A 14440-nucleotide genomic window follows, 5' to 3' on the forward strand; every position below is an offset into this window, starting at 1 on the left:
ATCTTCAGCATGTTGAATTGCCATCTTTCTTAGCAGTGCAAATGACTAAAACTTAGCCAATGTAGAGTTTATCCAAATTTGGAACTCATAACTCAGTTCTTGGGCAAAGTGAAAAGAAAACATTGTGATTACGGGGAAAATATTTGTATGGGACTTATTAAATAAAGATAGGAAAAGGAGAAAACCCAAATATTATAGGCAGAAATGCTAAAGGTTTTAAAATATGTCAGGATTGGAAGAAGGCATGGATAAAGAACAAAGTTCAGTTAGGAAAGAGAAACACAGAAGGAAGAGACACAATAAAAGTCATTATGTATTTTGTGAGAAGTCAGACAGTAAGATTTGTGGGAAATGGGTTGGTTTGTTGTATGGTGTGTATTTTAGCAATAATCTTTATGGCAGAGAAAGCTAAAATCCTTTAGCTTGTGTGAATGATCACTTGCTGAATTCCTCAAGGTAGGCATGATGAAGGAGGGTTTAGAGGAGACACAGACACAATGAACTGACCTAGATAGAAAGCCTTAGTATACTCAGCTAGGAATAGTGATTCTGAGGACACACTTTGACATGATTATGTCATTACATGTATGGTAGTGATGGGGATGATAGAAGGAAGAACTGTTGGCATATTTTCACCCCCCAAAAAATCAGTTAAATATTGGGACACTAACCATCCAGGTCTAGAAAAGTCACATGCCATAGCCATGGTATTGCACATCATTCATCTTGCATTCTTTGAGAACAGGAAGATCAGTAAATAGTTCAGAAGTGGGAAGCTTTGTCCAGGCCTGTGTGTGAACCCAATGTTGTGTTTAGAAATAGAACAAGTAAGTTCATTGCTATAGCATAACACAAAATTTGTTTAAGTGGTGGTCAGCAAATCCTTGAACGCTGCTTAATGTGACGAGGTTGGTAAAATCCTTTGTGCAACACTCTTACTCCCTGAATATTTTGCAGTGCCAGGGCCTGTGCATGCCAGACAAGGCCAAGATGGCTCAAAGAGCAACCAGCCACCTCAGCAACCTGCCACCTCCTGCTGGCAGGATTTGTTTTTGCAACCTGTGAAGAGTCAAGGAGGCACAAAGGCATAAGTCTACTCACTTATATCTGTTTGTCTGGAACATAACCCATGTTTGTTTTTACAACAAATAAAATTGATCTTGAATAAAAACTGAGTGGTCATTGTCATTAATCTTTGAATCCAGATTAACCTTTTGGTCATGCCTAGTCTAAGAGAAAAGAGATATTCTTATCAATAAATACAGAGCCAAGCTATATCAGTGAAGATCTCAAGTGCATAGACAGTAGTATAGGGAAGAGTCAGAGGCCAAAAAGACAAGGATGGCAGACATTGAACAGAGGAGAGTGTGGTGTTTGCCTTTGCATCAACTGAGATTGTGGAATAACACCTGAGGCTTGGGGAGAGCACCTACGAGATACCAATAAAGCATTGTAAGAACATCTATGAAGTGAGAAAATTTGAATTACTGTTGTTCTTGTGGTTATGATTGTATTTATGGTTGTTACTTCATTCGTATTAATCATCTATGTGCCCGAGTGTAATCATGAAGTTAGATTTTTCCCAGATTTTTTTATTAGACTCAAGAATTCCCATAGACAAAGGCAATATCACTATCCTATTTATACATTTCTTCTCTCAGTTCTGCAGAGCCAAAATGTAGAGTCCAATCTTTTAGATAGGTTATGCAATAAAGGCTGACTTGGATTATCTAACTGGTACATGAGGCCCAGTGTGGTAGTTTACTCCAGAGGAAATTGGCACCTGTATATAATTGTAGTTAAGTTGATCCCTTGATATCAGGAAAGTTTCTGCTATGCAGTCCTTTTTGATGATTTCTTAATATATATCCTCCTTTTAGACAGTACTAGTGGCCATAGATGTACATGGCAGCAGAATATTACAGATGGTAAACCTTGAATCTGCATTTTAGTAGCAAGAGCATCTGGAGTCTTGTGCTTCCCTTGTAGACATCTTCTTAACATCTACATCCTATCTTTTGTCTACTGTTGTTACTACTACTAGTTCCATAGACATTCTAACTTTCATTTGGATATACATTTTTGTTATTTGTAAGCTCCCCCTTCTTTTTCATTTTTTCACACCCTTTCAGACTGTTCTAAAATCAGAAAGGAAATTCTCCTCCATGAGCATGTGTATGTTTTTGGCTCTTGGAACTTGAGATGGTGCAAGTAAGTACAAGCACATTTTCCAGATAAGTCATGTGAAGTGATTTACATTTCATAATATGATCATTTCTGATTGATCTGATCTATTAAGACCACCAATAGAGATGGCTGTAAAGAATTAAGAACATCAAACAATGTCAAGTTGTTCATTGCATGTATTTCAGAACATTACCGAGATAAAGCCAGGTGGAGTCATTAATTTCACCAGCTAATTATTTCCTTGCTGCAGTACCAAAGATTGTCATTTTTGAACTAAAGCCTCTGGTTTTTCTAACTCATCTTTCATTGTTCATATTGGCAAGTGAATAATTAGTGAATATATATGTTTAGGTTATGAGGAATTTAAAACACAACCTAAGAGTTGTAATGTTGATTGCTTTTAAATGTTGTAATTGTTTTGAGAGTGTCTGCTAATGATTCCTTAATTACATACTTGCTTTTCTTAGAAAGTCAACTCATTTCATTGTGATTAATTTTCTCTTAAATATTTAACTTCATATTTTAATAAATCACAATGCCTGGGATTCCATTAGATATTTGAAAAGATCAAGTTTAATTTTTTTTACCCAGGTAACATACACAATGGCTCAAGATTTGTGTTCTTTGATCTCACAATTTAAAAAAATATGCATTAAGCACCATGGAAATCCCAAGAACTTCAGCAAGAAAGAGTCTTTGTTCCATAGTTTCTTTGCTTGATAAATATGTGGACTAAAATAAATGCAATATCTTAATTCAGTTTTTGCTTCATGAGACTGGTTGAGTGAACATAGGCCTAGTGCTTTGAAAATTGGCCTATTGTAGAAGATTGATAATCTAATAGCCTAAAGAGAATCCATTTCTTATAAGAACATATATATTTTGGAAAATATGGTATTTCTCAGAAAACTGCTGAAATGAATTATGTATCTTTTCTATCTTTATCTTTAATTCTATTACTTTCAAAGATCTAAAGCTTTCACTTGAAAATTAGTCTTTTGGAAAAAAATCGAAACTAGTGTTAAATTATATTTCATTGAGGTAATGAATATGAAGATTCATTTGCTGTAATCTCCTTGTGATCTTTTAAAGTAGTTTCTTGTGCTTTTAAAAATAACACTATAATGGTCTATATGTGTATCAGTTTTTACAATAATTTGTCTAAACTTTAGCTTATACAGTGTGCATGAAGAACCAAGTGCAGTCTGAATTAGCACAATGCAAATAGAAAACCGAACTTTTATTTTCCTCACAAAATTATATCTAATATAAACCTTATGTAAAATAGAGAATTTTTAAGTGCTTGTAAAATAATAACAAAATCATACATAATGTCAGTGGAGGAGAAAAGTTAAGGATTTTATATCACACTAAAATGCATTTCTAAATTGACTTAGTATTGTTATAAAACATATTCTTGAATATTGTATCAGAATTTATCACCACTATTGAAGTCAAAATAAAGATGGATCTCTAAATTATACAATTTATTTGGGAATCACAGAATTGTAGTTCTGAACAAAACTGAAAACCACGGTGGTCTTCTATATGTGTGAAGGACAAAGAGAAGATTGGGGGTTTACTAGCAAGGGAAATGCTATATATTGTTTTGAAAGAACGCACATGGACACTAGAGAAGATTTTGGGAGCTGATCAAGCAAGCCTAATGGGAGGCAAATCTTTTGAGACTTCCCAGGAGCCCAACTATAAAATCCCTTAGTCAATTTTAAGTGAAAAAGACTTAAATTTGAATTTGATTCTGTGGAAGTTTGTCATTTGTTTGGATGCAAAAAGCCTAAAAATATTTAATTAAAGTAGAATTACATATCCTTGAGAGATAATGGTCACTTATTTAACCAGAGTAATAATGGAAAGACTTCAAAAACAAATTCAAAAGTTACCTGGTCAAGAGAAAAAAATACTTAGACCTGTGTTAGAGATGACTTAGTTTTTTCAGGAGGTCAAAACCCGAATAAAGACAGCCCAAACCACAAGAAGCTATCTTAAAACATAAAATATCTGCTTGTTAGGTGGATTACTTAGAGAGAGAGAAAAAAAAAACCTTTTGTAATATGACCATTTCTCTTGGTATATGCCCTTTTGAGTAAACTGGAAATTAAACCCCATGAAAAACTACTTTAATTCAACTAGACGCTGGAAGAGTGTATGTCTAAAGTTATATGTAAACCATATTATAGAATAATAATACACACACACACACACACACACACACACACAAACAAGTAGTACCTCCACCAGGTGGAATGGATGGCTTTTTAGAAAAAGAAAGAGCATGTGAAATTTCCTGGTTACATAGAACAATCTGGATACATCAGGAAAAGCCAAGAGTACAGAATTAATCTATACCAGAAAAACATTGTTTTTCCAGTTTTTTTCTTGAGACAAACGTTCTCGGTGTCAGGTTATAATACCAGAGTGCGAAGTGGGGAAAAATGCAATAGGAACTGACAAAAAAAAAAAAAATGAGAGAGAGAGTCACCACTTTAGTTAATCAAAAAGATGTACTGTTTTAAGGAGAGAAGTAACAAGAGCAGAAGGCATTGATGTATTAACTGCAAATTACACGTATTGAGATGCATAAAAAGCCAAACCCTTGGGATAAAAATCTGAAAAGCTTTAAGAGGAAAAGTCTACCTCCTGAAATGAAGTGATCATTTTTTTTATTGCTGCTTCTAAAAAAAGGATACATGTACAGGATGTGCAGGTTTGTTGCATAGGTATATGTGTGCCATAGTGGTTTGCTGCACCTATTGACCCATCCTCTAAGTTCCCTCCCCTCATCCCTATCCTCCAATAGACCGTGGTGTATGTTGTTCCCCTCTCTGTGTCCATGTGTTCTCAATGTTCAACTCCCACTGAATGAGAACATGCAGTGTCTGGTTTTCTGTTCTTGTGTTAGTTTGCCGAGGATGATGGCTTCCAGTTTCATCCATGTCCCTGCAAAGGACATGCTCTCATTCATTTTTCATGGCTGCATAGTATTCCATGGTGTATATGTGACATATTTTCTTTATCCAGTCTGTCATTGATGGGCATTTGGGTTGGTTCCAGTCTTTGCTATTGTAAATTGTGCTGCAATAAGTAGAATGATTTATATTCCTTTGGGTATATACCCAGTAATGGGATTGCAGGGTCAAATGGTATTTCTGGTTTTAGATACTTGGGGAATCACCATGCTGTCTTCCACAATGATTAAACTAATGTATATCCTCACCAACAGTGTAAAAGCATTCCTATTTCTCCACAGCTTCACCAGCATCTATTGTATCCTGACTCTTTTAAATAATCACCATTCTGACTGGCATGAGATGGTATCTCATTGTGGTTTTGATTTGCATTTCTCTGATGATGAGTGATGTTGAGCTTTCTTTCATATGTTTGTTGGCCAACTTCTTTTGAGAAGTGTCTGTTCATATCCTTTGCCCACTTTTTAATGATATTATTGCTCATATTAACTTTGAAATGACTGAAAATTCAAAATAAAGACAAGAAAGATAAAATTATATTTTTTAAGTTACAGGTATGAAGTATTTTTGAAAGGAAAGAAACCTCTAGATTATATATACATGTATGTGTATATATTTATATGTATATGTGTGTATATATAATATATATATTGCTTTCAACAAAAAAATTATTAGAGTCAAAATAGTATCATCTCCAGATGTTTTTATTTAGCTTGGTATCTAAAATCATTTAGGTGACCCATTCCCATGTTTGGAAAATTTTTAAAATTTGTTGTATATATCTGTGGTATTCAGTATAGTAGCCACTAGCTACTTAACTTTTAATCAGTTATAATTAAATGAAATTTAAAATTCAGTTCTTCCGTCATACTAGCTACATTTCAAGTGCTCAATAGACACACTTGGTGAGTGGCTACTTTATTGGACAGGGCAAGTATAGAATATTTCCATTATCACAGAATATTTAACCAGACAGCATTGATCTAAATGGTTAATTTTTTTTTTTAACTGGAGTGCATTGGTACATTCTCAGCTCACTGCAACCTCTGCCTCCCAGGTTCAAGCAATTTTCTGCCTCAGCTTCCCAAGTAGCTGGGATTATAGGTGCCCACCACCACACTCGGCTAATTTTTTTATTTTTAGTAGAGACAGTGTTTCACCATCTTGGCCGGGCTGGTCTTGAACTCCTGACCTCATGATCCACCAGCCTTGGCCTCACAAAGTGCTGGGATTACAGGCATGAGACATTGCACCAGGCCAAGTATCTTGTAGAGAAAGTTTATATTATGATTCAGATTTCCATTTCTTCACATTTTTTCTGAAAAGCTAAGGTTTTGTTATTGAACTACTATTAGAAGTTGAATGTGATCCTCTTCCAATGTCTGGCATTGCCTTCCTGTGGAATTAACACTCTGTGTGATTTAGAGTACACGTCCTGACTTTCTCAATGCTCATAAATACCTTATCTGTAGGAAACTTTCTTTAAGGGAAAAGCAGCTTTAGCCTGTCTCCAGTATATGGCCCTGACTTGCTTGTACATGTAATCTATTATGAAGGAAAAAGAGCCATCCTCACAAATCTACAAGATTAAAACTTCTAGCACAAACACAGCTTGAATCAGTGCTTCTGTAGCTTCTTTCAGCAAAGGGACCATAGCCAGTACTGTGGCTACAACATATGCCTTGCCATCAGATACAAGAGTTAGGCTTCATATCCACGTCCTGTGCAATAAAAAGCTTTAAATCTGAGTGGAACATCCGTAGAACTAGCTCACAGACAACGCAGAAGTAGGAACACTTCGGTCTGTGTTCAAGTAAAATGAAGGTTGAGATTTCTTTATGCAGCAGAAGAAGCAGGATTCCGTATCTGTCTTTGGAGTCAGGTTGGTCTTTGAAAGAAAACCAATTTGCTTTTAAGAGGTTCTAATCTAGCAGGATACCAGATGATGGCAAGCGTGTTTAAACCAAGTATAGACTAAGGGATTGGTACATTGATAAACTACCTTCTTTTTCAGCAGAGGGTAATTAGGGTGCCAGCAATGCTGTTATTACTACTAAGGTCACCAAGGACCTAGATCAAGAAGTTCCATCCAGCAACACCTTATTACAGTGTACAGAGGTCAACAGTCAGAGGTAAAAGAAAAAGAATAATCTTTTATCAGACTTTTACATTACATTGATAATTTTTAATACAGAATATTTTTCATTCTTTTATTTTGATTCACTGGTATTTATTTCTGATTCTGACTCTGCCTACTGTTATTCACCCTACTTGTTAATGCTAATCTATTCTTTTTATTTGTAAAAGCATAACTTTTCTCAGGCATAGTTCTGTGTGTATATGTGTATTTAACCTATTCTAGAAACATTAATTTAAAGTAGAAGAGATTGAGATTGCAGATTATAATAGCATGTAAAGAGTTTTATACAGTTAATACCTGAGAGTCTGCACAGTGGGGAACTCTGAAGTAATATGCAAGGTGTCAAGAACAAGCAGGTCAGGACTGTGGCACTCAAAGGGCAGGTAACCAGCTTTTCAGTAACATTTTTAAGTAGCAGTTTCAGAGATCCTTAGAGAATGCCAGGCAGTAAAGGACACATCTCAAAATCCATACAGCAGATTTCTGGTTTCCAAGTTTATGGCATATAGTACTTAATAAAGTATTTGAAACTCTACAATTGCTATGGAAGAGACATTCTGGAGAGTTACGTATTATCCAAAAATAAATTTTTCAGAAGCAAGAAATTTTAAAATAAGAAACCAACCAAAAAAGAATGGCCAACCATTTAAACCTTTTTTTCCATTAATAAGGAGCTACATAGTCTGCTGGTGAAGAACTTGATAGAAATTGACTGTTTTCACTTAGTGGGCTGATCCCCTTGTATCTGTGTCAGATAAAATCATAGCACTTATTATTTGTTACCGGATACCATGAAGATACTGCCATCCACTAAATAGTAGTAGAGGAAGACAACATAATTTTCTGCAACTAGTCCCGTTTTGCCTTCATAAGCTGCCTTTAACCATCCTGGTTCCACTGATGGGTCCACACTGGAAAATATCGCTCTTTGTGGGAAGGAAAGCTCACGCTGTGCTCTCCTTTATAGGAGTACATGGCTTTGGCTTGGTGCCCAGAAGAAACTGGCTTAGGTGAACCAACATTTTCAAACAGTTGAGCTTTTGCTGCCACTACTGAGCCAGGACGCTGATAGCCATTGCTTGAGGTGGTGTCTAGTCTTCACCTCCTGCACATTTTTGGAGGCAGGTCTGGGTTTGAAGCTTTGGGTGTCTCCTTGGAACCTACAGAAGTTAAGCTTTGAATAGATCCACTGTAGCTAATGTTTCCTTCAGCTGCAGAAATGGATCTGAGAGAAGAAGCAGAAGCTCTTTTCAGTCCTGAAAGCCCATAAGGCCCTTTCTTGACTAGGTCTATGGGTGGGGAAACATCCCCTGGGCTAGTGACCGAAGCAACACTCTGGCAATCTGATTCTGCATCTGTCTTGATTGCATCTTCTCTAGAACTTGATTCAGGATTAGTTGTCCAGAGACCAAGGCTTTTCTGTCCATTGGAAGATTGGGTTGCAATCCAAGGAATCCCTCCAGATTTCTCCCTGGGCTGGCAGAAAGCTGACTTTGTAGTGCTATTTTGTTGTGAGGAAAGAGAAGAGAGTGACTTGATGCTCCCCATGGGGGTGCTGTCTGTGCTGCTGCTATAGGAATCACTATCAAGTTCAGCCAGGCATGGAGTACACATCCCTCTGGGCTTCCTAGAGCCTGTAGAGAGGCAGATTGCTCATGTCCTTTGGGATCCAGATCGAGACTGAGGTTGTCCTTTGGGATCCAGATCGAGACTGAGGCTGAGGAAGAGGAATGCTTGGGTCTGGAGCAGTATGAAAAACCGTTTCACTGTGCTCTATCAGAATTTCTACACAATATTCTGAAATTTAATATTCACCATAGCAGCCACAGTTTATTCTTGTGCTCTCATTAGAGTTGGGCCAAATATGACACCAAGATTTTAGACAGTCATGAGATTTTGTTGGCTGTGCAGTGATACTTTGACCAGATGTTTTATTAAGATGTCCAGCATCTCTCTGTTTTTCTCTGGCAATGTGCACACCAATGCATGTACAGCCTCCACCCTGTAGTTTTGGTCATCAGATTTAACAGCAATGATACAAATCTTTGTGTAACTTGTAAGTTATCAGTGGTGCTGCAAAGCACCTGAGGTAGTTTTTCAGCCCACTCATTATTGTCTTATTGTCCCACAGTTCAATATCAATATCAGGAGGGGATTTAGGAGAAAATATGATATTCACGAGTTTTTGAACTTTGGAGTTCACTCCTCCTATTCAGTAGAGGCCTTAAATGGTGATACCACTGGTTTCCACAGCTTGAATGCAGTTTCTCACAAAATTGAACCCTGCTTCGTTCAAATACATTTCTTCTTTCTTGCTTATAATGTCAGGCAGAGTATAAATCGGTTCCTTCCCATCCGTGGCTTCAAGCCAGAGTTTCCTATTAGCTTCTGAGAAGGCCTGTAATGTGATGATCCCATGGCTTTCAACTACTTGTATGTCGAAGCAGAATTGTTTGTCAATTGAATCTGTCTTTCGTCGGATACAAGATTTTGAACATTTCCGGTGAGCTAGTAACAAGGCTGTTTAATCCATGTAAAACCAAGTGGTCATTTCTCCTGGACATGCAGATAGCCTTGCAGATTTCACCCTTTGCGTCAACCCCTCTACCTCTTGTCAAGTACTTTCAAAATTATTCCTTGTATTCTGCAAGTCGAACTGCAGCTGTTGCTTATTCGGTGCAAATTCCTGGGCAAGTTCATATCCCTCGGGGTAAAAAAGTAAATAAATCCTGAGGAAATGACAAAAGCAGTTCAACAAATTCAAACTTCTGTTTTTCTTGAACCTCTTGAATTTTAAAGACATATTCTTTTTTCTTTTATTTTTATTTATTTGTTTATTTATTTATTTTGAGACAGAGTTTTGCTCTTGTTGCCCAGGCTGGAGTGCAATGGTGCAGTCTCGGCTCACTGCAACCTCTGCCTCCTGGATCCAAGCGATTCTCCTGCCTCAGCCTCCCGAGTAGCTGGCTTTACAGGCATGTGCCACCAGGCCCAGTAATTTTGTATTTTTAGTAGAGACGGGATTTCTCCATGTTGGTCAGGCTGGTCTCCAACTCCTGACCTCAGGTGATCCACCCGCCTCAGCCTCCCGAAGTGCTGGGATTACAGGCGTGAGCCATTTAAAGACATTCTGATGATGCTTCATAGAAGTTCTGATGTGCTCAATCAATTTGTGTATCTGCCTCTTGCAAATGAGACTCCTTTTTCTTTGCAGATAAATTTAAATGCTTTTCAAGGATAGAGAAATATTTTTCACTCTCTTTGTCAAACTTCTTTTCACCTTTTGCTGCACCTATCTGTTCTTTTTGAAGTTTCTCAAGTGGTGTAATTAATACATCATTAGCGTTTTGGGTCAGTCTTCGCTTTTCTTCTACTGCAATGAGTAGTCTTGCAAATTATTTTAGTGACTGACCAATACTAATTTCATCATCTGTTTCAACATCACCAATACATTCAAATTGGAAATCTTGTAATGACTGGGAAAATTTCTGCACTGCCATAGACAGATCTCCAACCTGGGTAGAGGTGTGTTACTGAAGGAACTCAGGGTTCCTTTGGAAAGGATGAAAGGGCAAGGGAACTGGGCAGGCAATCAACATTACCTGTCCTCAACGCCCCAGTGAGCAGAGAGCCGTCCTTAATGAGCTCCTTGATGAACTTGTTGGTTCGCTCCAGCTCAATCTGGTGACACTGCAAGCGCTCCCTAAAATCCGGGCTGTCCAAGTAGTAATCACTGAACTCCAGAGTGGGCAGCCCCATGGCACAGGCGCTGCCAGCGGCGGCCGCTGGCACGTCCGGGCCGGTGGTCAGGGCGGGGGCAGCTGGAGGCCGCGGCGGGCGCTGGGGCAAGCCAGGGGACTCGCTGGCAAGCCAGGGGACTGATCGCTGGAAGGAAATGGGACCGCGCGCAGCGCAGCCTGAGCCGGGCTCAGTCTTCCTCCCCCTGGGCGAGGCGAGCACAGGCCTGGCAGAGGGCCTAGGCGCAGGTCTGCTCAGGTTGTTGTCAACGGGAGGCATCCTCGTTGGGAGCGCTGGGACTGCGAGCAACACTGTTGATTATTAAAGAAGCACACAATAGAAGTGCTAATTTTATTTTACGAGTTCCTTGATAATTTTTAGACTCTTTTGTAGGAAAAAAAAAAGTAGTGTGTTTATGCTTGCCCCAGGCTTCCCTGTATAAAAGCTGCTTTTTCTCAACTTTCAAAAATGAGTTTCTGATTGACATTAATGATTCTGTTAAATCTCTATATAAGGCAAAGGCAATTGGGAACATTTGGAAAGGCATTTGGAAACTTCCAAAATTATAAATATTTGCACTTAAACTTCCAAAGCCAGTTGTGTTCATTAGTTTTTTTTTAAAATTTTTCCTAAGAAATTATCTCACAAAAAGCAAGAGGCCTCTAGTGTAACTAGTTTTCAGTTTTCCTGTTACTGGAGTCAGATCAGCTGAAGCATGTTCAACCTCTCCCCTGTGGGCCAGTTACAGGGGAAGGAAGGAAGGAAGGAAGGGGGAAAGGGAGGAAGGGAGGAAGAGAGGGAGGGAGGGAAGGAAATGTAGTCCTGGGGATACACTAACAGTTCCAGAAACAGAAGCAATTTATTTTCTCAATTTCTTTCTTACCTTCTTTTACACTATCATTCACTAATTCAATCACCAGCATGGTTTTACATGTCCAGCTTCTTTCCTGTTCTTAAAAATCTCTTCCAATCGCACCGTCTTTTTCTTAAAAGCTTCAAATTTCCCGTAGTTATTTTATTCAAGAGCCATGAGGTTCAACATGATTTTGTCATACACTCTGGATCACAGAATAGAATCAGCAACCTTGGCATCGCCCAACACACACACACACACAAACACATACACATACACACACACGACACAGCTTTCTGACCAGCATCTTTTGGAAATGGAGTACTGCTGTGGAAGTAGAAAGGGAATTTTCCTATCATTAGGGACCTACAATGTGGTAGGCACTAAGACAAACATTTGACTTCATTACTCTAATCCTCAGAAATCTCTGTAGTGTGCCTATTCCTATATCACAGATGAGATATTAGTTCATGAAAGCTGTCCTCTATCCAAGGTTATGTAATTTGTGCCCAGTTATACAGCAAAATTGGAATGCAGGTCTCTAATCTCTAAAGCCCATACTTTCCCTATTGTAGTTTATTGCCTCTCCTAGGAAATTTCTTCCTCCATGACAATATCATGAAGAAGGGGAAACTATTGCTTGTCACTTCTGAGTTAGTATCAACACTTCTTCCATCCTCTAGCACGAATAATGTAGCGACACCACCAATTCTGTTGCAGAGCAGAAATAATCTTAAGGTTGTTCAACTTCCTAGCCACCCTAGTTCCTTTCCTGCCCAGCTGCAAGAAAGAATTATTAAAGAACTCTGTGAAATTGACCTTTGGTGTGGAAAGAAAACATGACAAGATGGTGAATCAAACATTGTGTTGCATTTAGCATTTATTATAGATTACTATGCAAAATGAACTAAAATTTTGTTAAATGCAAAATTGTCTATAAGAACAGCATAATATGTGCTTAATCCTACTTCTCTGCGATCACTTGATAAGTTAGTCAAATGATTGGCATTTTAGACATGATGGTGCAGAGAGGTAAGTAATTTGCCCCAGGCACATAGCAAATAAATGGCAGAATCAGAATTCAAATCCAGTCTTTCATGGCTCCAAAGGGCCTGAGTTCTTTCCAATACACTAATGGTTCTCAAATTCAGAGTGTATCAGAATTACTAGAGAGTGTGTTCAAAGTAAAGCTAGATGCCCAAGCTTTGACACTGCTGAATGAGAATTTCCAGGGTCAGGACATATGTTTGTTTGTTTGTTTGAGCAACTTCCTAGGCAACCCTGCTATATGCCGAAGTTTGACGGCCATACCACTATACCATGCTGCCTTATGGAGTTATAGAAATGATCCTTGCTAAAGCATTAAAAACGTGTCGACTAATCTTTACATCTTATGGGAGTTACTGGTGAACTAGCAAAAATTTTAACATTTTGTGAATTTCTGTTAATCTGTACATTGGGTATAATGGTTTTTGCTTAAATTAGAATGTACTTATTTGTGTTTAATTGTTCTAAACTTGGAGCTAATTTGTAGAATTCATTTATTTGCTTTTACTCAGCACTCTACAAATTCTCTGTAAAATGTTACAGTGTCTCTTTCACCTTGGGACACCAAATATTCCACAGAGATTGCCCCTTAGTTTAAGGGACATTACTCTTTTCTTTTACATATATATATATGTATATGTGTAAGCAGGTCTTGGTGGGTTAATGGGACTAAATAAGACAGTTATTTTTGAAGAGCAAGACTTAGTAAAATAATTAAAGATCAAAGATTCTCATGACTAGAAAAGATTTGATTACCTTCAATGAGCCCAATGAAGTAGAGGCCAAATCTCCTGTGGATACTACCAAAATGAGGTCATGTGGCTAACTCGTTGATTGTTAAGAGACCACATTAAAGGCTTCTGAATTGTTTCAAAAGCGTTATATAAATTTAATGCCCCTACCCCAATTCCTGCTTCTAATAAAAATACAGTGTTAGTGTCTGACTACAGAAGTCATACATGAGGAGTTTATATTTTTATTTTTTACTTTATTTATTAATTTTTTTGAGATGAAGTCTCACTCTGTTGCCCAAGCTGGAGTGCAGTGGCACAATCATGGCTCAGTGCAACCTCCACCTCCCACACTCTCATTTTTATAGAGTTTTCCTGACTGTTCTCATTGCATATACTTCTTGATTAAATTTAAGATAATCTTGCCAGGTTTTTAAAAATCTTGGGAGTTTGGTTGGAATTACTTTATAGATATAGAATACTTTAGAAACATTTAGCATATTTAAAATATTGACTCTTCCTATCCAAGAACAATATGTTTTCCCATTTATTCAATTTTTGCTTTCTGTTATTATATTAATTTATGATTAATTTGATATAAATGTTCACATTTGAACATTTCTTGCATTGTATTCTCTAATTTTTGTTTATATACAGGCAAGCTAATGTTTCTTTCTTTTTTTTTTTTTTTTTTTTTTTTGAGATGGAGTCTTGCTCTGTTGCCCAGGCCGGAGTGCAGTGGCGCGATCTCGGCTCA

General features: G+C 37.7%; 1 pseudogene; it reads right to left on the bottom strand.

Moving 5' to 3' along the window:
- Positions 1–6775: 6775 nt before the first annotated feature.
- Positions 6776–11258, bottom strand: ARHGAP42P5 (ARHGAP42 pseudogene 5; annotated as a pseudogene).
- Between the last annotated feature and the right edge of the window lie 3182 nt (positions 11259–14440).

Source organism: Homo sapiens, chromosome 14, assembly GCF_000001405.40.
Source record: "Homo sapiens chromosome 14, GRCh38.p14 Primary Assembly".
In the NCBI taxonomy this organism is placed as follows: domain Eukaryota; kingdom Metazoa; phylum Chordata; class Mammalia; order Primates; family Hominidae; genus Homo; species Homo sapiens.